This window comes from Homo sapiens, chromosome X (genome assembly GCF_000001405.40).
Source record: "Homo sapiens chromosome X, GRCh38.p14 Primary Assembly".
NCBI lineage: Eukaryota > Metazoa > Chordata > Mammalia > Primates > Hominidae > Homo > Homo sapiens.
In genome coordinates this window covers 65,363,309-65,388,747 of record NC_000023.11, presented here as the reverse complement: position 1 = coordinate 65,388,747, position 25,439 = coordinate 65,363,309, and the positions used below count along the sequence as shown (strand labels likewise).

The 25,439-nt window shown below is 38.8% G+C and overlaps 1 protein-coding gene across 14 annotated transcripts in view; it reads right to left on the bottom strand.

Annotated features, from left to right (window-relative positions):
- Positions 1–25,439, bottom strand: part of ZC3H12B (zinc finger CCCH-type containing 12B) — a 473,062-nt gene that overhangs the window by 119,140 nt on the left and 328,483 nt on the right. For 7 of the 14 annotated variants that reach the window (NM_001010888.4, XM_047442075.1, XM_047442077.1 and 4 more), the window contains 2 exons: positions 21,982–22,110; positions 19,750–19,919 (listed from right to left, as the gene is read on the bottom strand). The exons of 3 other annotated variants lie outside the window; for them this stretch is intronic. The gene's annotated coding sequence lies outside the window, so the exon portion shown is untranslated. The remainder of the gene's footprint in view (positions 1–19,749; positions 19,920–21,981; positions 22,111–25,439) is intronic. 4 more of the 14 variants (XM_047442076.1, XM_047442074.1, XM_047442079.1 and 1 more) reach the window with 2 other exon arrangements.

The following is a 25,439-nucleotide window of genomic DNA, read 5'->3' as shown; positions in this document are numbered from 1 at the left end:
AGCAGAAAAACTGGAAACTCTAAAAATCAGAGCACCTCTCCTCCTCCAAAGGAATGCAGCTCCTCACCAGCAATGGAACAAACCCGGATGGAGAATGACTTTGACGAGTTGAGAGAAGAAGGCTTAAGACAATCAAACTACTCTGAGCTAAAGGAGGAAGTTCAAACCCATGGCAAAGAAGTTAAAAACTTTGAAAAAAAAATTAGACAAATGGCGAACTAGAATAACCAATGCAGAGAAGTCCTTAAAGGACATGATGGAGCTGAATACCAAGGCACGAGAACTACGTGATGAATGCACAAGCCTCAGTAGCCGATTTGATCAACTGGAAGAAAAAGTATCAGTGATGGGAGATCAAATGAATGAAATGAAGCAAGAAGAGAAGTTTAGAGAAAAAAGGATAAACAAAAAAGAACAAAGCCTCCAAGAAATATGGGACTATGTGAAAAGACCAAATCTATGTCTGATTCGTGTACCTGAAAGTCACGGGGAGAATGGAACCAAGTTGGAAAACACTCTGCAGGATATTATCCAGGAGAAGTTCCCCAATCTAGCAAGGCAGGCCAACATTCAAATTCAGGAAATACAGAGAATGCCACAAAGATACTCCTCGAGAAGAGCAACTCCAAGACACATAATTGTCAGATTCACCAAAGTTGAAATGAAGGAAAAAATGGCAAGGGCAGCCAGAGAGAAAGGTCAGGTTACCCAAAAAGGGAAGCCCATCAGACTAACAGCAGATATCTCGGCAGAAACTCTACAAGCCAGAAGAGAGTGGGGGCCAATATTCAACATCCTTATAGAAAAGAATTTTCAACCCAGAATTTCATATCCAGCCAAACTAAGCTTCATAAGTGAAGGAGAAATAAAATCCTTTACAGACAAGCAAATGCTGAGAGATTTTGTCACCACCAGGCCTGCCTTACAGGAGCTCCTGAAGGAAGCAATAAACATGAAAAGGAACAACCAGTACCAGCCACTGCAAAAACATGCCAAATTGTAAAGACCATCCAGGCTAGGAAGAAACTGCATCAACTAAGGAGCAAAATAACCAGCTAACATCATAATGACAGGATCAAATTCACACATAACAATATTAACCATAAATGTAAATGGACTAAATGCTCCAAATAAAAGACACAGACTGCCAAATTGGATAAAGAGTCAAGACCAGTCAGTGTGCTGTATTCAGGAAACCCATCTCACATGCACAGACACACATAGGCTCAAAATAAAGGGATGGAGGAAGATCTACCAAGCAAATGGAAAACAGAAAAAGGCAGGGGTTACAATCCTAGTCTCTGATAAAACAGACTTCAACCAACAAAGATCAAAAGAGACAAAGAGGCCATTAAATAATGGTAAAGGGATCAGTTCCACAAGAAAATCTAACTATCCTAAATATGTATGCACCCAACACAGGAGCACCCAGATTCATAAAGACAGTCCTTAGATACCTAGAAACAGACTTAGACTCCCACACAATAATAATGGGAGACTTTAACACCCCACTGTCAACATTAGATCAACAAGACAGAAAGTTAACAGGGATATCCAGGAATTGGACTCAGCTCTGCACCAAGCGGACCTAATAGACATCTACAGAACTCTCCACCCCAAATCAACAGAATATACATTCTTCTCAGCACCACACTGCACTTATTCCAAAATTGACCACATAGTTGGAAGTAAAGCACTCCTCAGCACATGTAAAAGAACAGAAATTATGACAAACTGTCTCTCAGACCACAGTGCAATCAAACTAGAACTCAGGATTAAGAAACTCACTCAAAATCGCTCAACTACATGGAAACTGAACAATCTGCTCCTGAATGACTACTGGGTACATAACAAAATGAAGGCAGAAATAAAGACGTTGTTTGAAACCAACGAGAACAAAGACACAACATACCAGAATCTCTGGGACACATTCAAAGCAGTGTGTAGAGGGAAATTTATAGCACTAAATGCCCACAAGAGAAAGCGGGAAAGATCCAAAATTGACACCCTAATATCACAATTAAAAGAACTAGAGAAGCAAGAGCAAACACGTTCAAAAGGTAGCAGAAGGCAAGAAATAACTACAGTCAGAGCAGAACTGAAGGAAATAGAGACACAAAAAACCCTTCAAAAAATCAATGAAACCAGGGGCTGGTTTTTGAAAAGATCAACAAAATTGATAGACTGCTAGCAAGACTAAAAAAGAAGAAAAGAGAGAAGAATCAAATAGATGCAATAAAAAATGATAAAGGGGATATCACCACTGATACCACAGAAATACAAACTACCATCAGAGAATACTATAAACACCTCTACGCAAACAAACTAGAAAATCCAGAAGAAATGAATAAATTACTGGACACATACACCCTGCCAAGACTAAACCAGGAAGAAGTTGAATCCCTGAATAGACCAATAACAGGATCTGAAAATGAGGCAATAATTAATAGCCTACCAACCAAAAAAAGTCCAGGAACAGACAGATTCACAGCCAAATTCTTCCAGAGGTACAAAGAGGAGCTGGTACCATTCCTTCTGAAACTATTCCAATCAATAGAAAAAGAGGGAATCCTCCCTAATTCATTTTATGAGGCCAGCAACATCCTGATTACCAAAGTCTGGCAGAGACACAACAAAAAAAGAGAATTTTAGACCAATACCCCTGATGAATATCAATGCACAAATCTTCAATAAAATACTGGTAAACCGAATTCAGCAGCACATCAAAAAGCTTATCCACCATGATCAAGTGGGCTTCATCCCTGGGATGCAAGACTGGTTCAACATACGCAAATCAATAAATGTAATCCAGCATATCAACAGAACCAAAGACAAAAACCACATGATTATCTCAATAAATGCAGAAAAGGCCTTTGCCAAAAGTCAGCAGCCCTTCATGCTAAAAACTCTCAATAAATTAGGTATTGATGGGACATAGCTCAAAATAATAAGAGCTATTTATGACAAACCGACAGCCAATGTCATACTGAATAGGCAAAAACTGGAAGCATTCCCTTTGAAAACTGGCACAAGACAGGGATTCCCTCTCTCACCATTCCTATTCAACACAGTGTTGGAATTTCTGGCCAGAGCAATCATGCAGGATAAAAAAAAAGGGTATTCAATTAGGAAAAGAGGAAGTCAAATTGTCCCTGTTTGCAGATGATATTGTATATTTAGAAAACCCCATCATCTCAGCCCAAAATCTCCTTAAGCTGATATGCAACTTCAGCAAACTCTCATAATACAAAATCAATGTGCAAAAATCACAAGTATTCCTATACACCAATAACAGGCAAACAGACAGCCAAATCATGAGTGAACTCCCATTCACAATGGCTTCAAAGAGAATAAAATACCTAGGAATCCAAGTTACAAGGGATGTGAAGGACCTCTTCAAGGAGAACTACAAACCACTGCTCAAAGAAATAAAAGAGGACACAAACAAATGGAAGAACATTCCATGCTCATGGATAGAAAGAATCAAAATCGTGAAAATGGCCATACTGCCCAAGGTAATTTATAGATTCAATGCCATCCCCATCGTGCTACCAATGACTTTCTTCACAGAATTGGAAAAAACTACTTTAAAGTTCACACAGAACCGAAAAAGAGCCTGCATTGCCAAGACAATCCTAATCCAAAAGAACAAAGCTGGCGACATCATGCTACCTGACTTCAAACTATACTACAAGGCTACAGTAACCAAAACAGCATGGTACTGGTACCAAAACAGAGATGTAGACAAAAGGAACAGATCAGAGCCCTCAGATATGATACCACACATCTACAACCATCTGATCTTTAACAAACCTGACAAACACAAGAAATGGGGAAAGGATTCCCTATTTAACAAATGGTGCTGGGAAAACTGGCTAGCCATATGTTCCAACTCCTGTTCTTTCTTTGTTTCAAATATCATAGAATATCTTTTTCCATCCCTGTATCTTCAGTCTGTCTGTGTCTTTACAAGGGAAGTCTGTTTCTCATAGACAACATATCATTGGGTCTTTTTAAAATCAATTCAGCCACTCTATGTCTTTTGATTGTAGAATTTAGTCCATTTACATTTGATGTTATTGGTAATACTGAATAATTAGTAACATTCAATGATAAGCAAAGAATTACTCCTGCCATTTTTTTTAAACTATAGCAATAGTTTATTAACCATAAAAGGTTAACTTTTAAGGAATACCAACTTTTTTTTCCTTTTTAAAAAAAATTTATTTATTATTATTATACTTTATGTTTTAGGGTACATGTGCACAATATGCAGATTAGTTACATATGTATACATGTGCCATGCTGGTGCACTGCACCCACTAACTCGTCATCTAGCATTAGGTATATCTCCCAATGCTATCCCTCCCCACACCCCACAACAGTCCCCGGAGTGTGATGTTCTCCTTCCTGTGTCCATGTGTTCTTATTGTTCAATTCCCACCTATGAGTGAGAATATGCGGTGTTTGGTTTTTTGTTCTTGTGATAGTTTACTGAGAATGATGATTTCCAATTTCATCCATGTCCCTACAAAGGACATGAACTCATCATTTTTTATGGCTGCATAGTATTCCATGGTGTATATGTGCCACATTTTCTTAATCCAGTCTATCATTGTTGGACATTTGGGTTGGTTCCAAGTCTTTGCTATTGTGAATCATGCCGCAATAAACATACGTGTGCATGTGTCTTTATAGCAGCATGATTTATAGTCCTTTGGGTATATACCCAGTAATGGGATGGCTGGGTCAAATGGTATTTCTAGTTCTAGATCCCTGAGGAATCGCCACACTGACTTCCACAATGGTTGAACTAGTTTACAGTCCCACCAACAGTGTAAAAGTGTTCCTATTTCTCCACATCCTCTCCAGCACCTGTTGTTTCCTGACTTTTTAATGATTGCCATTCTAACTGGTGTGAAATGGTGTCTCATTGTGGTTTTGATTTGCATTTCTCTGATGGCCAGTGATGGGGTTGTTTGTTTTTTTTCTTGTAAATTTGTTTGAGTTCATTGTAGATTCTGGATATTAGCCCTTTGTCAGATGAGTAGGTTGTGAAAATTTTCTCCCATTTTGTAGGTGGCCTGTTCACTCTGATGGTAGTTTCTTTTGCTGTGCAGAAGCTCTTTAGTTTAATTAGATCCCATTTGTCAATTTTGGCTTTTGTTGCCATTGCTTTTGGTGTTTTAGACATGAAGTCCTTGCCCAAGCCTATGTCCTGAATGGTAATGCCTAGGTTTACTTCTAGGGTTTTTATGGTATTAGGTCAAACGTTTAAGTCTTTAATCCATCTTGAATTGATTTTTGTATAAGGTGTAAGGAAGGGATCCAGTTTCAGCTTTCTACATATGGCTAGCCAGTTTTCCCAGCACCATTTATTAAATAGGGAATCCTTTCCCCATTGCTTGTTTTTCCCAGGTTTGTCAAAGATCAGATAGTTGTAGATATGCGGCATTAATTCTGATGTCTCTGTTCTGTTCCATTGATCTATATCTCTGTTTTGGTACCAGTACCATGCTGTTTTGGTTACTGTAGCCTTGTAGTATTGTTGGAAGTCAGGTAGGGTGATGCCTCCAACTCTGTTCTTTTGGCTCAGGATGACTTGGCAATGCAGGCTCTTTTTTGGTTCCATATGAACTTTAAAGTAGATTTTTCCAATTCTGTGAAGAAAGTCATTGGTAGCTTGATGGGGATGGCATTGAATCTGTAAATTACCTTGGGCAGTATGGTCATTTTCACGATATTGGTTCTTCCTACCCATGAGCATGGAATGTTCTTCCATTTGTTTGTATCCTCTTTTATTTTCTTGAGCAGTGGTTTGTAGTTCTCCTTGAAGAGGTCCTTCACATCCCTTGTAAGTTGGATTCCTAGGTATTTTATTCTCTTGGAAGCAATTGTGAATGGGAGTTCACTCATGATTTGGCTCTCTGTTTGTCTGTTGTTGGTGTACAAGAATGCTTGTGATTTTTGTACGTTGATTTTATATTTTGAGACTTTGCTGAAGTTGCTTATCAGCTTAAGGAGATTTTTGGCTGAGATGATGGGGTTTTCTAGATATACAATCATGTCATCTGCAAACACGGACAATTTGACTTCCTCTTTTCCTAATTGAATACCCTTTATTTCCTTCTCCTGCCTGATTGCCCTAGCCAGAACTTCCAATACTATGCTGAATAGGAGTGGTGAGAGAGGGTATACCTGTCTTGTGCCAGTTTTCAAAGGGAATGCTTCCAGTTTTTGCCCATTCAGTATGATATTGGCTGTGGGTTTGTCATAAATAGCTCTTATTATTTTGAGATACGTCCCATCAATACGTAATTTATTGAGAGTTTTTAGCATGAAGGGTTGTTGAATTTTGTCAAAGGCCTTTTCTGCATCTATTGAGATAATCATGTGGTTTTTGTCTTTGGTTCGGTTTATATGCTGGATTACATTTATTGATTTGCGTATATTGAACCAGCCTTGCATCCCAGGGATGAAGCCCACTTGATCATGGTGGATAAGCTTTTTGATGTGCTGCTGGATTCGGTTTGCCAGTATTTTATTGAGGATTTTTGCATCAATGTTCATCAAGCATATTGGTCTAAAATTCTCTTTTTTGGTTGTGTCTCTGCCCGGCTTTGGTATCAGGATGATGCTGGCCTCATAAAACGAATTAGGGAGGATTCCCTCTTTTTCTATTGATTGGAATAGTTTCAGAAGGAATGGTACCAGTTCCTCCTTGTACCTCTGGTAGAATCGGCTGTGAATCCATCTGGTCCTGGACTCTTTATCGTTGGTAAGTATTGATTATTGCCACAGTTTCAGCTCCTGTTATTGGTCTATTCAGAGATTCAACTTCTTCCTGGTTTAGTCTTGGGAGAGTGTATGTGTCGAGGAATTTATCCATTTCTTCTAGATTTTCTAGTTTATTTGTGTAGAGGTGTTTGTAGTATTCTCTGATGGTGGTTTGTATTTCTGTGGGATCGGTGGTGATATCCCCTTTATCATTTTTTATTGCATGTGTTTGATTCTACTCTCTTTTCTTCTTTTTTAGTCTTGCTAGCAGTCTATCAATTTTGTTGATCTTTTCAAAAAACCAGCTCCTGGATTCATTGATTTTTTGAAGGTTTTTTTGTGTCTCTATTTCCTTCAGTTCTGCTCTGATTTTAGTTATTTCTTGCCTTCTGCTAGCTTTTGAATGTGTTTGCTCTTGCTTTTCTAGTTCTTTTAATTGTGATGTTAGGGTGTCAATTTTGGATCTTTCCTGCTTTCTCTTGTGGACATTTAGTGCTATAAATTTCCCTCTACACACTGCTTTGAATGTGTCTCAGAGAATCTGGTATGTTGTGTCTTTGTTCTCGTTGGTTTCAAAGAACATCTTTATTTCTGCCTTCATTTCGTTATGTACCCAGTAGTAATTCAGGAGCAGGTTGTTTAGTTTCCATGTAGTTGAGCGGTTTTGAGTGAGTTTCTTAATCCTGAGTTCTAGTTTGATTGCACTGTGGTCTGAGAGATAGTTTGTTATAATTTCTGTTCTTTTACGTGTGCTGAGGAGAGCTTTACTTCCACGTATGCGGTCAATTTTGGATTAGGTGTGGTGTGGTGCTGAAAAAAATGTATATTCTGTTGATTTGGGGTGGAGAGTTCTGTAGATGTCTATTAGGTCCGCTTGGTGCAGAGCTGAGTTCAATTCCTGGGTATCTTTGTTGACTTTCTGTCTTGTTGATCTGTCAATGTTGACAGTGGGGTGTTAAAGTCTCCCATTATTAATGTTTGGGAGTCTAAGTCTCTTTGCAGGTCACTCAGGACTTGCTTTATGAATCTGGGTGCTCCTGTTTTGGGTGCATATATATTTAGGATAGTTAGCTCTTCTTGTTGAATTGATCCCTTTACCATTAAGTAATGGCCTTCTTAGTCTCTTTTGATCTTTGTTGGTTTAAAGTCTGTTTTATCAGAGACTAGGATTGCAACCCCTGCCTTTGTTTTCCATTTGTTTGGTAGATCTTCCTCCATCCTTTTATTTTGAGCCTATGTGTGTCTCTGCCCGTGAGATGGGTTTCCTGAATACAGCACACTGATGGGTCTTGACTCTTTATCCAGTTTGCCAGTCTGTGTCTTTTAATTGGAGCATTTAGTCCATTTACATTTAAAGTTAATATTGTTATGTGTGGATTTGATCCTGTCATTATGATGTTACCTGGTTATTTTTCTCCTTAGTTGATGCAGTTTCTTCTTAGTCTTGATGGTCTTTACATTTTGGCATGATTTTGCAGTGGCTGGTACCGGTTGTTCCTTTCCATGTTTAGCGCTTCCTTCAGGAGCTCTTTTAGGGCGGGCCTGGTGGTGAGAACATATCTCAGCATTTGCTTGTCTGTAAAGTATTTTATTTCTCCTTCACTTATGAAGCTTAGTTTGGCTGGATATGAAATTCTCGGTTGAAAATTCTTTTCTTTAAGAATGTTGAATATTGGCCCCCACTCTCTTCTGGCTTATAGAGTTTCTGCTGAGAGATCTGCTGTTAGTCTGATGGGCTTCCCTTTGAGGATAACCCTACCTTTCTCTCTGGCTGCCCTTAACATTTTTTCCTTCACTTCAACTTTGGTGAATCTGACAATTATGTTTGTTGGTGTTGCTCTTCTCAAGGAGTATCTTTGTGGCGTTCTTTGTATTTCCTGAATCTGAATGTTGGCCTGCCTTGCTAGATTGGGGAATTTCTCTTGGATAATATCCTGCAGAGTGTTTTCCAACTTGGTTCCATTCTCCCCGTGACTTTCAGGTACACCAATCAGACGTAGATTTGGTCTTTTCACATAGTCCCATATTTCTTGGAGGCTTTGCTCATTTCTTTTTATTCTTTTTTCTCTAAATTTCCCTTCTCACTTCATTTCATTCATTTCATCTTCCATCGTTGACACCCTTTCTTCCAGTTGATCACATCGGCTCCTGAGGCTTCTGCATTCTTCACGTAGTTCTTGAGCCTTGTTTTTCAGCTCCATCAGCTCCTTTAAGCACTTCGCTGTATTGGTTATTCTAGTTATACATTCGTCTAAATTTTTTTCAAAGTTTTCAACTTCTTTGCGTTTGGTTTGAATGTCCTCCCGTAGCTTGGATTAATTTGATCATCTGAAGCCTTCTTCTCTCAGCTCTTCAAAGTCATTCTCTGTCCAGCTTTGTTCCGTTGCTGGTGAGGAACTGCGTTCCTTTGGAGGAGGAGAGGCGCTCTGCTTTTTAGAGTTTCCAGTTTTTCTGCTCTGTTTTTTCCCTATCTTTGTGGTTTTATCTACTTTTGGTCTTAGATGATGGTGATGTACAGATGGGTTTTTGGTGTGGATGTCCTTTCTGTTTGTTAGTTTTCCTTCTAACAGAGAGGACCCTCAGCTGCAGGTCTGTTGGAGTACCCGGCCGTGTGAGGTGTCCGTCTGCCCTTGCTGGGGGGTGTCTCCCAGTTAGGCTGCATGGGGGTCAGAGGTCAGGGACTCACTTGAGGAGGCAGTCTGCCCTTTCTCGGATCTCCAGCTGCGTGCTGGGAGAACCACTGCTCTCTTCAAAGCTGTCAGACAGGGACATTTAAGTCTGCGGAGGTTACTGTTGTCTTTTTGTTTGTCTGTGCCCTCCCCCAGAGGTGGAGCCTACAGAGGCAGGCAGGCCTCCTTGAGCTGTGGCAGGCTCCACCCAGTTCGAGCTTCCCGGCTGCTTTGTTTACCTAAGCAAGCCTGGGCAATTGCGGGCACCCCTCCCCTAGCCTCGCTGCTGCCTTGCAGTTTGATCGCAGACTGCTGTGCTAGCAATCAATGAGACTCCGTGGGCATAGGACCCTCTGAACCATGTGGGGGATATAATCTCCTGGTGCGCCATTTTTTATGCCCATCGGAAAAGCGCAGTATTAGGGTGGGAGTGACCCGATTTTCCAGGTGCCGTCTGTCACCACTTTCTTTGACTAGGAAAGGGAACTCCCTGACCCCTTGCACTTCCCGAGTGAGGCAATGCCTCACCCTGCTTTGGCAGGCACACGGTGCATGCACCAACTGACCTGTGCCCACTGTCTGGCACTCCCTAGTGAGATGAACCTGGTACCTCAGATGGAGATGCAGAAATCACCCTTCTGAGTCACTCACACTGGGAGCTGTAGACTGGAGCTGTTCCTATTCGGCCATCTTGGCTCCTCCCCCACTCCTGCCATTTTGTGATGTGTTTCCTGGTTGTTTTGTAGTCTTTTTTCTTTCCTTCCTTCTCGTCTTCCTTTTAGTGAAGGTAATTTTGTCTGGTGGTATGCTTTAATTTCTTAATTTTTTTTTGTATCTGTTGTTTATTTTTTTGATTTGAGGTTACCATGAGGCTTGCAAATACTATCTTATAACCCATTATTTTCAGAGTGATAAAGTCTTAACACTCTTTATCTAAACAAACAAGAATAAAGTAAACTAAAAAACACTCTACACCTTAAATTAATCTCGTCTTTTTAATCTTTCAATTTCTATTTATATCTCACTGTAGTGTCTTTGACTTGAAAAGTTGTAGTTCTTTTTGATTGGTTCATCTTTAAGTCTTTCTATTTAAGATGGGGAAGTTTACAAGCCACATTTATTGTGTTATAATATTTTGAATTTTCCTTTGTGCTTATTATTATCAGTGAGTATTGTAAGGTCAGATGATTTCTTTTTTTTTTTGAGATGGAGTCTCGCTCTGTCACCCAGGCGGGAGTGCAGTGGCACAATCTCCACTCACTGCAAGCTTCACCCCCCAGGTTCATGCCATTCTCCTGCCTCAGTCTCCCGAGTAGCTGGGACTACTGGCACCAGCCACCATGCCCGGTTAATTTTTTTGAATTTTTAGTAGAGATGGGGTTTCACCGTGTTTGCCAGGATGGTCTTGATCTCCTGACCTCGTGATCTGCCCACCTCAGCCTCCCAAAGTGCTGGGATTACAGGCTGAGCTGCTGTGACTGACCTCCAGATGATTTCTTATTGCTCACTAACGTACTTTCTTTCTGATTGAAGTACTTCCTTTAGCATTTGATGTAGGGTAAGTGTGGTGTTGGTAAAATTCCTCAGCTTTTGTTTGTCTGGGAAAATCTTTATTTCTTCATTATGTTTGAAGAATTTTTTTTTGGTTAACCATTTCTTTTTTTCCCCCAAAGCTCTTTACGTATGTCATGTCACTCTTTTGTTGCTTGCAAGGTGTCCACTGAAAAGTCTGCTGCCAGGTGTATTGTGGCGCTACTGTATATTATTTGTTTCTTTTGTCTTGTTGCTTTTAGGATCCTTTCTTTACTCTTGACCTTTGGAAGTTTGATTATTAAGTGCCTTGGGGTAGGCTTCTTTGGGTTAAATCTACTTGGGGTTCTGTAACCTTCTTGTACTTAGATATCGATTTTTTTCCCCAGGTTTGGTAAGTTCTGTGTTATTATTCTTTTAAATAATCTCTCTAATCATATCTCTTTCTCTACCTCCTCTTTAAGGCCAATAACTCTTAAATTTGCTCTTACGAGGCCGTTTTCTAGATATTCTAAGTGTGCTTCATTGTTTTTTATTCTTTTTTTTTTGTCTCCTCGGACTGTATATTTTCAAATAGCCTACCTTCAAGTCCACTAATTTGTTCTTCTGCTTGATTAGTTCTATTAAAAGACTTTGGTGCATTCTTCGGTATGCCAATTGCATTTTTCAGTTCCAGGATTTCTACTTGATTCTTTTTAATTATTTGAATCTTTTTATTAAATTTATCTGATAGAACTTTGAATTCCTTCTCTGTGATATCTTGAATTTCTCAGTTTTCTCGAAACAGCTATCTTATCTATCTGAAAGGTCACATATCTCTGTTTCTCTTGGACTGGCTCCTGGTGCCTTATTTAGTTTGGTGGAGTCATGTTTTCCTATATGGTCTTGATGCTTTCAGATGTTCTTTGGTGTCTGGGCATTGAAAAGTTACATATTTATTGTAGTCTTCACAATCTGGGTTTGTTTTTACTCAGTCCATCTTGAGAAGGCTTTCTGGGTATTTGAAAGGACTTGAGTGTTGTGACGTTAGCTGTATCTGCATTAGAGGGCAACCCAGGCCCAGTAATACTGTGGTTTCTGTAAACTCAAAAAGGTATCACTTTGGTGGCCTTGGATAAGATCTGGAAGAATTCTATGTATTAAGGCAGAAACGCTTGTTTTCTTTCCTTACTTTTCCCAAACAAACAGAATATCTCTCTTTGCTGAGCTGCTTGGAGCTAGGTGTCGTGTGACTTAAGCAGCCCAGTGAGTACCACCACTGGATATGTGCTGGGTCAGACCTGAGGCCAGCAAAACACTCGGTTTCACCCAAGGCCCATTGTAACCACTCTCTGGCTACCACCTATTTTCACTCAAGGCCAGAGGGCACTACAATTTGCCGGTCATAAAGCCAGCCTGCATTGCATCTCTCCCTTCAGGGCAGCAAGTTTCTCCAGTACCAGGGCAGTCCAGAAATACTGTCCAGCCACCAAAGACTAGAGTCAAAAACCTTAGAAATCTACCTGTGCTATTGTACTATGGCTGAGTTGGTGCTCAATGAGATGCTTTCCCTATCCTCTCCACAGGAAGCAGAGCCTCAGCCCATTACCACCACCACCACAGGCCCACTGGAAGTATTTTCAAGCTACCACTGATGTTCACTTAATGCCCAATGGATCTTTAGCATGTGGTGAATGTTGCCAGGCTTGAGACTCACCCTTTAGGGCAGTGGGCTCCATTTTGGCCCAAGGCACGTCCAGAAATGCTGTCTAAGAGCCATGGTCTGGAATCAGAGACCCCAAGAGCCCACTTGGTACTCTACCCTCCTGTGGCCAAGCTGGTACCTAAGGTGCAAGACAAAGTCCCCTTTACTTTTTCCTCTGCTTTTCTCAAGTAGGAGGAGTCTCTCACTGTAGCTATCACAGCTGAAAATATGCTGGATCTCACCTGAAGCCAGCATGTCCCAGTCTCACCCAAGGCCTATGGTGTACTACCTGGGCATTGCTGTGGGTTATTCAGGGGCCAATATATCTTTAGGCAGCAGGTGATGGGTCCTGCCTGGATTGGGTCGTTTCCTTCAAGGTGGTGGGTTCCCTTCTGGCTCAGGATGTATCTAGAAATGTCATCCAGGAACTAAGGCCTACAATGGGGGACTCAAAACTTTGATCAGTGCTCCACCGTACTGTGGCTGAGCTGGTATTCAAGGTGCAAGACAAAGTCCTCTTTACTCTTCCCTCTCATTTCCACAAGTGGAAGAAAGGTGTCTCTTTCGCAGCCATGAGCTGTGCTGTCAAGGGTTGGGCGCGATGTGGCATGTGCTCCCTTAGCCACTATGGCTGGTGTCTCAGCAGGTCACATTCCCCCAATGTGTACTGGCTCTTTGCTTAGCATAGCACTAGGACTCAGCTAGGAGTTGTGGTCCTTGTGTCCTACACTGCCTTTAAAATTTATTTAGAACCCCAAAACACTTTAGTTTGCAGTGAACTCAAATTCCAACTGCTGGGATGGATAATTCCCCTCTGGCTGGGGCTGGTCTAAATGCCTCCTCCATTGGCGGGCATCAGCTGAGTTCAGTCCTGTTTTGCTTTATGCTGTGACAGGGCAGCAAAACTCAAATCTCACTGTGAAAATTGAGTTCAACGCAAGGTTTCACAACCGCTGTACCCTCCCTTTCCCAAGAACACAGATTATTTTCTCACACCACACATCTACTGCTAGAGGATAGTGGAGAAGGAGTGATATTAGAGATTCAAGACTTTCTTACCCACTTCAGTGCCTGATATGGTTTGGCTGTGTCTCCTCTCAAATCTCATCTTGAATTGTAGTTCCCATACTCCCCATGTGTCATGGGAAGGACCTGATGGGAGGTAATTGGATCATGGGGGGCAGTTACCCTCATGCTTTTCTCATGATAGTGAGTGAGTTCTCACAAGATCTGATGGTTTTATAAGGGGCTTTTCCCCCTTTGCTGGACACGTCTCCTTGCTGCTGCCATGTGAAGAAGGACATGATTGCTTCCCGTTCCACCGTGATTGTAAGTTTCCTGTGACCTCCCGAGCCCTGCAGAACCTAAGTCAATTAAACTTCTTTCCTTTCTAAATTACCCAGTATCGGGCAGTTCTTTATAGCAGTGCGAGAGTGGACTAATACAGTGCCTATTTCAGTGATATAAAGTTAAAACCAAATACTATGAGTGCTCACCTGATTTTTTCTTCTTATGAATGTGCTATTTTTGTTTAGATAGTTATTACATTTGGTGTTCCTGTGGGAGGGATGCTTGGTGGAGCCTTCTATTTGGCCATCTTACTCCATCCGTAATCAATTAATGCTTAGTAATTTTTTTTTTTACTTTAAAAATTTCAACTTTTATTTTGGATTCAGGAGGTATATTTGCAAGTTTGTTACATGGGTATGTTACATGATGCTGAGACTTGCGGTATGATTGATCCTGTCACCCAGGTAGTGAGCATAGCACCCAACCAATAGGTAGTTTTTCTTTTCATATATATATATATATATATAGTATATATTACTATACTATATATATAATATATATTACTATACTATAGAGTACATATATAACTATATATAATATATATTACTATACTATATATAGTGTATATATAACTATATATATACACTGTATATATAGTTATATATACACTATATATAGTTATATATAACCTATATATAGTTATATATATACTATATATAGTTATATATACTGTATATATATAGTTATATATACTGTATATATAGTTATATATATACTGTATATATAGTTATATATATATACTATATATATATAGTATATATATATACTATATATACAGTATATATATATAACTATATATATATACTATATATATAGTATATATATATAACTATATATATATATTACTATACTTTAAGTTCTAGGGTACATGTGCAGAACGCGTAGGTTTGTTATATATGTATGCATGTGCCATGTTGTTGGTGTGCTGCACTCATTAACTCGTCATTTACATTAGGTATATCTCCTAATGCTATCCCTCCCCCCTCCCACCACCCCACAACAGGCCCCGGTGTGTGATGTTCCCCTTCCTGTGTCCAAGTGTCCTCATTGATCAATTCTCACCTATGAGTGAGAACATTCAGTGTTTGGTTTTCTGTCCTTGCGATAGTTTGCTGAGAATGATGGTTTCCAGCTTCATCCATGTCCCTACAAAGGACATGAACTCATCCTTTTTTATGGCTGCATAGTATTCCATGGTGTATATGTGCCACATTTTCTTAATCCAGTCTATCACTGATGGACATTTGGTTTGGTTCCAAGTCTTTGCTGTTGTGAATAGTGCTGCAATAAACATACGTGTGTATGTGTCTTTATAGCAGCATGATTTATAATCCTTTGGGTATATACCCAGTAATGGGATGGCTGGATCAAATGGTATTTCTAGTTCTAGGTCCCTGAGGAATCACCACACTGTCTTCCACAATGGTTGAACTAGTTTACAGTCCCACCAACAGTATAAAAGTATTCCTATTTCTCCACATCCTCTCCAGCACCTGCTGTTTCCTGACGTTTTAATGATTGCCATTCTAAATGGTTTGAGATGGTATCTCATTGTGGTTTACAAAATGGTTTTACATATGCTATCTCTTTCAATCCTTACAATCGTACTGTGGGGTGAATGGCATAATCCCTGTTGAACAGGGATTCCTGAAGAAACAGACTCAGATACATTATTCTTTCTTCCTTTTTCTCTATTTAGAAAATCTACAAGGCCCACCATAGGAACTATATTTTTCACAAGAAAATCATGGACTGATTAATGTCCAGCTTGAATTCAGTTCACTCTTCTCTGAATTCTTACTGTAAAGTCAGTTTTATGTATTTTACTACTGACATGCTATTTTTTCTTTTTCAGTCTTTTCCTGTGTATTGTAATTTAGCAATGTAAAAAGACAAGGATAGATTTTACATTTAATGAATTTGATTCCTATCTGACCTTGATGCATACTTGTGTGATTTTATACAGGTTATCTAGTTCTCCAAACCTCAGTTTCCCCATCTGTGAAATGTGGATAACAATCCTTACCTCTCAATATCGTTTGGTTTATCAAATAAGAAAATTGAAAGTTTTCCTTCCTTCCTTTCCTTCCTTCCTTCCTCCCTTCCTCCCTTCCTCTCTCCCTCTCTCCTGTCCACTCTTCTTCCCTCCCTTCCTTTCTTAAAATATGTCCGCATTCAAATTGACATGTTTTCCTTCCTTCCTTCCTTCCTTCCTTCCTTCCTTCCTTCCTTCCTTTCCTTCCTTCCTTCCCTTCCTCCCTTCCTCTCTCCTGTCCTCTCTTCTTCCCTCCCTCCTTTCTTAAAATATGTCCGCAATCAGGCTGAAAGCCCCATGATGTCAGTGCACTTATCTTAAACCTCTGTTGCTTCCCCAACACAGTTGAATTCATAATATTTGATACCTACATTTACTTGGACTTGGAAGGCTTGGAATGCATGTTTTTGGAGCACTAGGCTTCTACATATAGTCTCATCATCTAATATCAACTTTCAGAGCCTTTGAATCTAAAATACTTTTGCTGGATCTAATTAAAATTTCAACATGCTAATAAGCAAGTTAATGGCTTCCATCTTCACAAATCATTTATTTGTCAAAAAGGGAAATGTAGTTTCTTTGATTTTAACGAATAGGCTTCCCCAGAAACTACACATTTTCTGAAATCATTATTAATACCAATTTTAAACACAAACTCTCTATTGGTGGCTTTTATTGTTGCTATGACACGAATAACAAGCAGTCAGTACACTCATTGACAGAGAGAACTCACTTTAAATCCCTTAAAGTTTGCAATTACTTTTGGTTGGAGGTTAGTGAAAGAAGTGTGAGGTACACTTCTTTGGCAGTTTCTAAAAAGTCTACACTAACACAAGGACTGTGATAGACAATCCCCTAGAAAAATTGACATCTTCTTATATCCCGTTCTTTATTCTTTCTCTTTCTGTTGTATGCCTGAGTGTTACAGCTCCAAATATTATATTTAAATAACCACTTTCTTCAAATGATATTAAAGGGCTTTACAAATACTATTTCTTTAATCTTTCATAATGTCTAGAGCTCTGAAAGATGCATTAATATTTTATTTGTACATTTGCTTGCATCTTGTTCAGAGCTTCAGTCTCAAGTCTGAAGAATTTTTTAAAAGAATATAAAACATTGTCCTTATTCTTAAGTATTCTTACCTGTTCATACTTTTAGCATACATAAATAACAGTGACTCTTCCCTTTTTAATTCATTTTCCAGATGAGTTCCATTTATTCTAAGCCTGGATAAAATAATGTACAGCTTGTGGTAGTGGAAAAAAAAACTGGGCTTAGAAATAGACCACAGTTGGATTTCTGGATCCATCGTGTACTGGCTATGTGACTGTACAGACCTTTAACATCCTTGAGGCTCAATTACTTAATTTAGTATGTAAAGATAAATAATAAAATATTGTCATTATTATGAGACTCAAATGAGATGGTGGATATTTAAAATACTTTGAAAATGTAAAGGATTATGCTAATTCTACCTCCGATAAAGCTATTAATGTAAGTGAATGTGTATTATAATTCACAACAGAGAAATAATTTGTGCATTTTTTTCTTTTTCCTTTTGAGGTATAAAATAGCATCCTAAAAATTCAATATATAATTTAAATCTTTCTATTAAAATTAAGAATAGGATATTAGAATATCAATGTTGGAATAGACCTTAGAGATAATCTAGTCCATCCCACATTACTGTATAAAAGGGGACAGTGAGGCCAAGAGGAAAAATAAACTTTTTTTAGGTTATACAATTAGGCAGTGGTAAAATCAGGATTGGAACTCTGGTCCCCTTTCTTCCCATTCAATGTATTTCCTACTCTACTACAATGTCTTACCTAAATGGTCCTGTTGGGCTTTGTTATGAAACTACTGTTCACCTCTAACTTTTCATTCACTGCTTTGAGCCAAGATTTTAATATGAACTGTTAAGCAGGCTTCTCCTTGGTGGTAGATTACTTTTCACAAAGAGAATGACCTAGAAGGCAATTCTTTCACACATTTTACCTTCCTGCCAGTAGATTGTAAACTATTGCATGGCTGCTGGGGCAACAGGTAGGACAACCAGAAAATGTGACCCAAGGCTGAAGGTCATGTTATTTTTTCCTTAGGGATATATAGATATTGGTCTTGCTGGAGCAACAAATAGAAAATAAGTTAGTGACTAGCATATGGTAAATATTCCTTTAGTGTTCATTTTATTCAATTTCTCCTCACATTATGATAGAATGTTATTGCCTACAAAGTACTTTCATATTTTTTATTTCAAGTTATTTTCACAACAAATATATGAGGTAAGGATTATTCTCATGTTACAGATGAGAAAACTGAGACTCCGAGAGAGTAAATTAATAGCCAAACTTTACACAGTAAACAAGAGAACTAAGAGTTCAACCTAGATTCTCTGACCTCAAATGAAGGGATCTTTCCACTATACCATAATGGCCTATGATTTTGCCATACTTAATGAATTCTGAAAAATATTACTAAAGATGCGACTACAAATTAATAAATGCCATGTGGAAGAAGTTCTAAAGATTGTAACTAAACAAAAACAGACATATCTTAACCTTTCTTCGAAACTATATGAATACTTTTTTTCTTCCTCTTCTTTTTCTTTTTCAATATAGACGAGGGTCTCACTATGTTGCTCAGGCTGGTCTTGAACTCCTGAGCTCAAGTGATCCTCTCGCTTAGGCCTCCCAAAATGCTGCGATTGCAGGCATAAGCCACCATGCCCAGACAGCCACCAAGCCTGGCCAGGTACCTAAATACTCCTAAATTATAAGAAGAGGCTTCAATTGCTTAGACTGATCAAGTGTCCAAAAGTATGCAACACAAGTCTAGAATCAGTCAGAATTAACCTTGCATTGCTGATTTAGCTAAACAAACAGATCTCAAAAGTTGGAAAGGCTTGATTCTACACTTACAAAGGATACACTTATTCTGGAAATTTTGGTTCTCACTTATGTATTAATAATATATGGAAAAATGCAGAAGGAAAAAAAAACATAGATGCTTTATTCCTGAGAATGGATGCTTCTTTCTCTAGTGCAATTTTTTTAAAGTTGCATATATTGTGGTTGTAAAGTATTTTCTGAATATACCACGTGAAAAACTTTCCTCCAAAAACTAAATAAAGTAGGGGCACAATGAAGTAGAGGTAGAATTCTTCATAAGAAAAGCATGAAATGATAGTCACAGTTTTCTCTTAGATATTTAGATCTTTCTAAGCACAGAGTTAGAAGTCAGAGAGATTTGGATATAAAACAAAACCCTAAACTTAATATCTATATGATCTTAGGCAAGTCAAATAACCTGCTTAAGATAGTTTTTTAATTTGTAAAATGGAGATGATAATACCTACACCATAGGATTGCTATGAGGATTAAATGTGATAACACATGTAAAGCTCTTGGTACTTGATTTGTAAAGTTCCACAAGTGATATTCCCTTTCCTCTCACCCCTTCCTATGATGATTTCCTGTTAATTCCAAAAGCCTACATATTTTCAACCTAAGAAGATAATTTTATTAACTGAGTTGTTCAGATTTTCACCACCGCTTTGATGCCTCAATCTTTCTGGAAGGAAGCTTCACTTTCTTATAAATAAAATGCCTTAACTTTTCATATTACACAGATTATCTCACTATAGTTTACTCTTTCAAACACACACACACAACAACAACAACAACCACTAAAGTACCCACCTCTTAACACCTCAAAAATGTCCAATGTCTGGCATCGATCCTCAGCATGCTCAATTCTTCTTTGGAGGCCTGTAGTCCACGTCTGTATTTTTTACTTTTGTGACTTATCCATCACAACATGACTTTTATCCTCTGTTGCTGAGGCAGAAATGCCAAAAGGAGTCCATAGCCTTGGGTAAAATAGATTCAATGAGCAGAAGGCAAACCTATGATGAGAACTTGATAAATCGACCACTGAAACACCTTTTACCCATTTAAAGTTCAGTATTATAATTTGGGCAGAAAGATATTTGGATCTCAAAGGCTGAGATAATTGTGCTAATTATTCAATAATTGTGCTAATCCAAGATGTAGCACTTTTTTAGTCTTTTATACATATTGAGCCTGAGAATATTCCACAAGCCTAAGAAAACTTATTTTGTGACTGTAAGATTCAGTCTAAAAGAATAATAGCTGAGTTACATGTATAATTTTGAACTATATTTACATAAATTATAAATAATACCATTTTTCAAAAAGAGAACCACGGATGAACAGTGAATTTAATAACTATTATCTAAATTTTATTAAGTAGCAAAATGTTTTTATATATATCCTATGATTTACAGATTAGGTATGACTACTTCCTCTTTTTGACCTTTTATGCAAAACAAAATAAGATCATAAATCTTAAAAGACCACAATTTAGAATAAACATGAATTCCTAACTACTTGAAATACATCACATTTTCACCATGAGAATTTTCTGATCCAATTAAATGAAAAGACATTTGCAGTTTACAAACTTGACAGAAACATACAAACAAAAAAACACTTGAATAAGAATAGCCATCCCTTTCTACCTCACTCCAAAATAAAATAAGTCATTTTGAGAACATTAAAATTAAAATGTTAATCGTTACACTAATAACCACTTGACATTTTATAATTTTAGGTGGTTCAAAAAATGTTTTCTATCTAGAAGTCAGATCATTAAACTATGGTCCAGAAGCAAAGTATGGCCTAACAAAGGTTTGTGGAGGGTCTTATTATTCTTCCCACTACCCAGCTTTGGGAATTTTTCCATTCCTTAAAGATTACTTTTAGTAGTATAGTGACTGTGTTTTCCAAACTCCAAATCAGGCCATAAATTCTGACACATGAGGGTTTTGTGTTGTTTCTTGGTGCCGGATGCAATCCAGGAGGTGTAATTTAGATATCAAAAAATTAGAATTTCAGGACACATGAAATTAAGACCTCCTAAGGGTGTGTCAAGAAAATAAATAGATAAAACAAAAGAAAAAAATTAGAAGTTTTGGGATATTCTGAAGGTTTAGAAAGATAATGAAAGGGAATATTTGAAATTAAGAATGCCTTGGAAAATTTGTTTACTGTGTGAATAAAACATCTGAATCAAGGTTACTGGATAGGTAAAAAAAAAATCAGTTAAAATCGAGAAGAAACTGGAAATCTTATTTAATCTGAAATTATTAGAAAGTATATTCCACAGTTCATTTATACATAAGCAAATTTCAAAAAAATGGTATGTAGCTTTATGTAAATATACTCATAACTCTCTATTAGATGTGCGACATGTTCAAGAGTGAGGTGCTTTTCTAGAGTTGATATTGTAGGGATCTGAGGGTTACTGTCCAACTTTGTATTATCAACCTGTGGAAAAATCTGTTCCCATGAAGCACTGAGATTTGAGCTGGCCATACTAGCAAACATGTTATTTGCAGCTCCTTGTTGCCACAACTATCATGATGAAAGAGTCAGTCTTGTGTACCTATATCTGCTCCTGAGAAGTCCCCTTCTGATTCTACAGTTTTAATGATTTATAGATGCAATAACAATATCTTTGTGGGTAGCCAAGAAAAGGGTCACAAGTTGCCTCCACAGTCAGGAAGGACACTAAGAAGAAAGTTCTGACTAGCTTTCATTCTGCTATACTGAGCTTCACGAGGACAGGGTGAGTGTTATTCATCTCTAAGGCCCTGTGCTAAGCCTTACATGTAGTAGATGCTCAATAAATATCTGCTAAATATCTTGTAAGATCCTCAAGGGAGAAAGCATTTTCCTGATCTTCCAAGTTTTTCATTATGTACTCATCACTGAATAGTAGCTATTTTTGTGAGTTGACTGTCATCACATAGGTAAACATAATAAGAAGCAATGTTTTGAAGAAGCAGATAAAGTGAGTCACATAATAGTGCAAATGTAGATATGTATCCTAGAGGAGCTTCTACTCACCTACCTTCCTGTGTAACCAGGATGAAGGAGATAGGTGGTCGTTATCTCTTCTTTCAAGTATCACCTGGGAAACCCATCACTCTTAAAAGAAGCAGTGGTATCTTGCAACTTGGCTATTTAGTCTATTTCCTTGTAGAGGGGTAAAAACAAGCAGAATTGGTGACTGTTAATTACATAAACCCCTCGGAGTTAAATCTTTATAGAAGACAGAGGTAGTGAAAGTGATTAAAAAAGAATATTAGCCTTTGCTAGCTTTTCAGAAATTAATCCTCAAGATTGTCTGACTAGACAGACAGAAAGAGAGAGGGAGGTAAACTAAAATAAATGTGGCATAGCAATGACAAAGAACAAATACATATACAAACACAACATGATCCAAAGAATTTTCTAAAATTCATAAGCAAGTTAAAGGACTATCTGTCAGGACAGATGACCATCATGAAGAAGAAACAAGCTTCTATTAAAAGAAGAAGCCAAATAAGCCTACTTCCACCACTTGGAAAAAAGCACCATTCTCTTTTGTAGAACTGACAAACCAGAAACCATTTTTCCCCTGATGGGGAAAACCACCTTTCTTCTGCTTGGGCTTTTTTTTTCTTTCATTCTATATTTACCAAGAAATATATTGCTGCGATAGACAGTTCAGGTATAGCAAATCATCAATATAGTTTAAGCCAATAAAAGCCAAATTGAGACTATTAAGTAGCCTAATGCTGTGTAACAGTCCAATGCTTGATTTACTTAAATATATATATTCTTTGGTGAAATTAGCTTCATTCAGTTTTATGTTTTTTGTTTTTCAACTAGGCTGTTTATTTCCCCTGGGTGCAGGAGGGTTGAGTCCAAAAAGAGAGTCAATGAAGGGAGATCGCAGTGGGGTCGTTTTATAGGATTTGGGTAGGCAATGGAAAATTACAGTCAAAGGGGGTTGTTCTCTGGCGGACAGGGGTGGGGGTCACAAGGTGCTCAGTATGGGAGCTTCTGAGCCAGGAGAAGGAATTTCACAAGGTAATGTCATCAGTTAAGGCAGGAACAGGCCATCTGGATGTATACGTGCAAGTCACAGGGGATATGATGGCTTAGCTTGGGCTCAGAGGCCTGACATTCCTGTCTTCTTATATTAATAAGAAAAACAAAACAAAATAGTGGTGAAGTGTTGGGGTGGCAAAAATTTTGGGGGATGGTATGGAGAGATAATGGGCGATATTTTTCAGGTCTACTTTGAGCGGGATTAGGGGTGGCATGGGAACCTACAATGGGAGATATTAAACTGAAGGAAGATTTCGTGGTAAGGGGTGATATTGTGGGGTTGTTAGAAGTAGCATTTGTTGTATAGACTCATTGGTGATAGCCTGGATGCGGTTTTGTATGAATTGGGAAACTAAATGAAAGACACAAGGCCCAAATAAGAGAAGGAGAAAAACAGGTATTAAAGGACTAAGAATTAGGAGGACCCAGGACATCCAATTAGAGTACTCAAGAGGGTTCAGTGTAATTACTTGCTTGGTTGGTGAGTTTTTGGGCTCTATCCTTGACAGAATCCTCCTTTTTAAGTTGGAGGCTGAGCTTGGTGAGGTGTGCTTTTAAAAGACCATTAGTCAGTTCTACCTTTCCTGAAGATTGAGGATGGTAAGGGGTATGAAGGTTCCACTGAATACCAAGAGCCTGAGAAACTGCTTGGGTGATTTGACTAACAAAGGACAGTCCGTTATTGGACTGTATAGAGGTAGGAAGGCCAAACCCAGGAATTATATCTGACAGAAGGGAAGAAATGACTGTGGTGGCCTTCTCAGACCCTGTGGGAAAGGCCTCTACCCATGAAGTGAAAGTGTCTACCCAGACCAAGAGGTATTTTAGTTTCCTAGCTTGGGGCTTGTGAGTAAAGTCAGTTTGCCAGTCCTGGGCAGGGGCAAATCCCTGAGCTTGATGTGTAGGGAAGGGAGGTCACAGGGCCTGAACAATCCCTGAGGAGTAGTAGAATAGCAGATGAAATACTGAGAAGTGATTTCCTTGAGGATAGATTTCCATGATGGAAAAGAAATGAGAGGTTCTAAGAGGCGGGCTAGTGGCTTGTAACCTACAAGGAAGACGTTATGAAATGACAACAGAATAGAATGGGCCTGTGAGGCTGGAAGGAGATATTTTCCTTGGTCCAAGAACCATTTGCCTTGTGTGTGAAGAGACTGATAGGTGGAAGTGACCGGTGCCAAGGAGAAAAACTGCCATGAAGGATAGAAGTTGGAACACTAGCTGCTTTTTTAGCTACATTATCAGCATAAGCACTGCCCTGAGTGATGGGATCTGATGCCTTTTGATGGCCCTTGCAGTGAATGACTCTAGTTTTTTTTTTTTTTTTTGGAAGTAAAGCTACCTTGAGAAGAGTTTTTATTAAAGAGATACTAATGATGGAGGACCCTTGTGTAGTGAGGAAACCTCTTTTTGCCCATATAACAGCAGGGTGGTACAGGATATGGAAGGCATATTTAGAGTCAGTATAAACATTGACATGTAGTTCCTTTGCAAGAGTGAGGGCTCGAGTTAAGGCAATGAGTTTGGTTTGCTGAGAGGTAGTGGAGCGGGGCAGAGCGGTAGCCTCAATGATAGATTTCGAATATACTATAACATAGCCTGCCTTTGCTGGTGTGTAGCGATTAGGCCTGGTGGAACTGCCATCAATAAACCAGGTGTGATCAGGGTGAGGAATAGGAAAGAAGGAAATATGGGGAAATGGAGTGAATGCCAGGTGTATCAGAGAGATACAGTCATGGGGGTCAGGTGTGGTATCAGGAATAATGTGGGAGGCCGAATTGAAGTCTGGGCCAGGAACAATGGTAACTGTGGGAGACTCAACAAAGAGTGAGTATAGCTGAAGGAACTGGGGAGCACAAAGTATATGTGTCAGGTGTGAGGAAGAAAATAGATTTTGGAAGTTATGAGAACTGTAGAGAGTGAGTTGAGCATAGTTTGTGATTTTGAGGGCCTCCAAAAGTATTAGGGCGGGAGCGGCCGCTGCATGGAGACATGATGGCCAGCCTAAAACAGTAAGGTCAAGTTGTTTGGACAAAAAGGCTACAGGGTGCAGTCCCGGTCCTTGTGTAAGAATTCTGACTGCATAGCCCTGCACTTCAGCTGTGTGTAATGAAAAGGGTTGGGATGAGTCAGGGAGAGCTAGTGTGGGAGCAGTCTCTAAAGCTGTCTTCAAGGAACGGAAACAGGAGTGGGGAAAGGATTTAGGATCTATGGGATCAGCTAGATTTCCTTTTGTGAGTTTATATAATGGTTTTGTTAGGATGGCAAAAACAAAAATGGTTTTGTTAGGTATCCAAAGGTGAAAGTATCCAACCATGCCCAGGAAGGAAAGGAGTTGTTGTTTTGTAGAAGGGGTCAGCGTTTGAGAGATCAATCGGACACAAACGGCAGGGAGAGCAGGTGTGTTTTTATGAAGAATTATGCCGAGG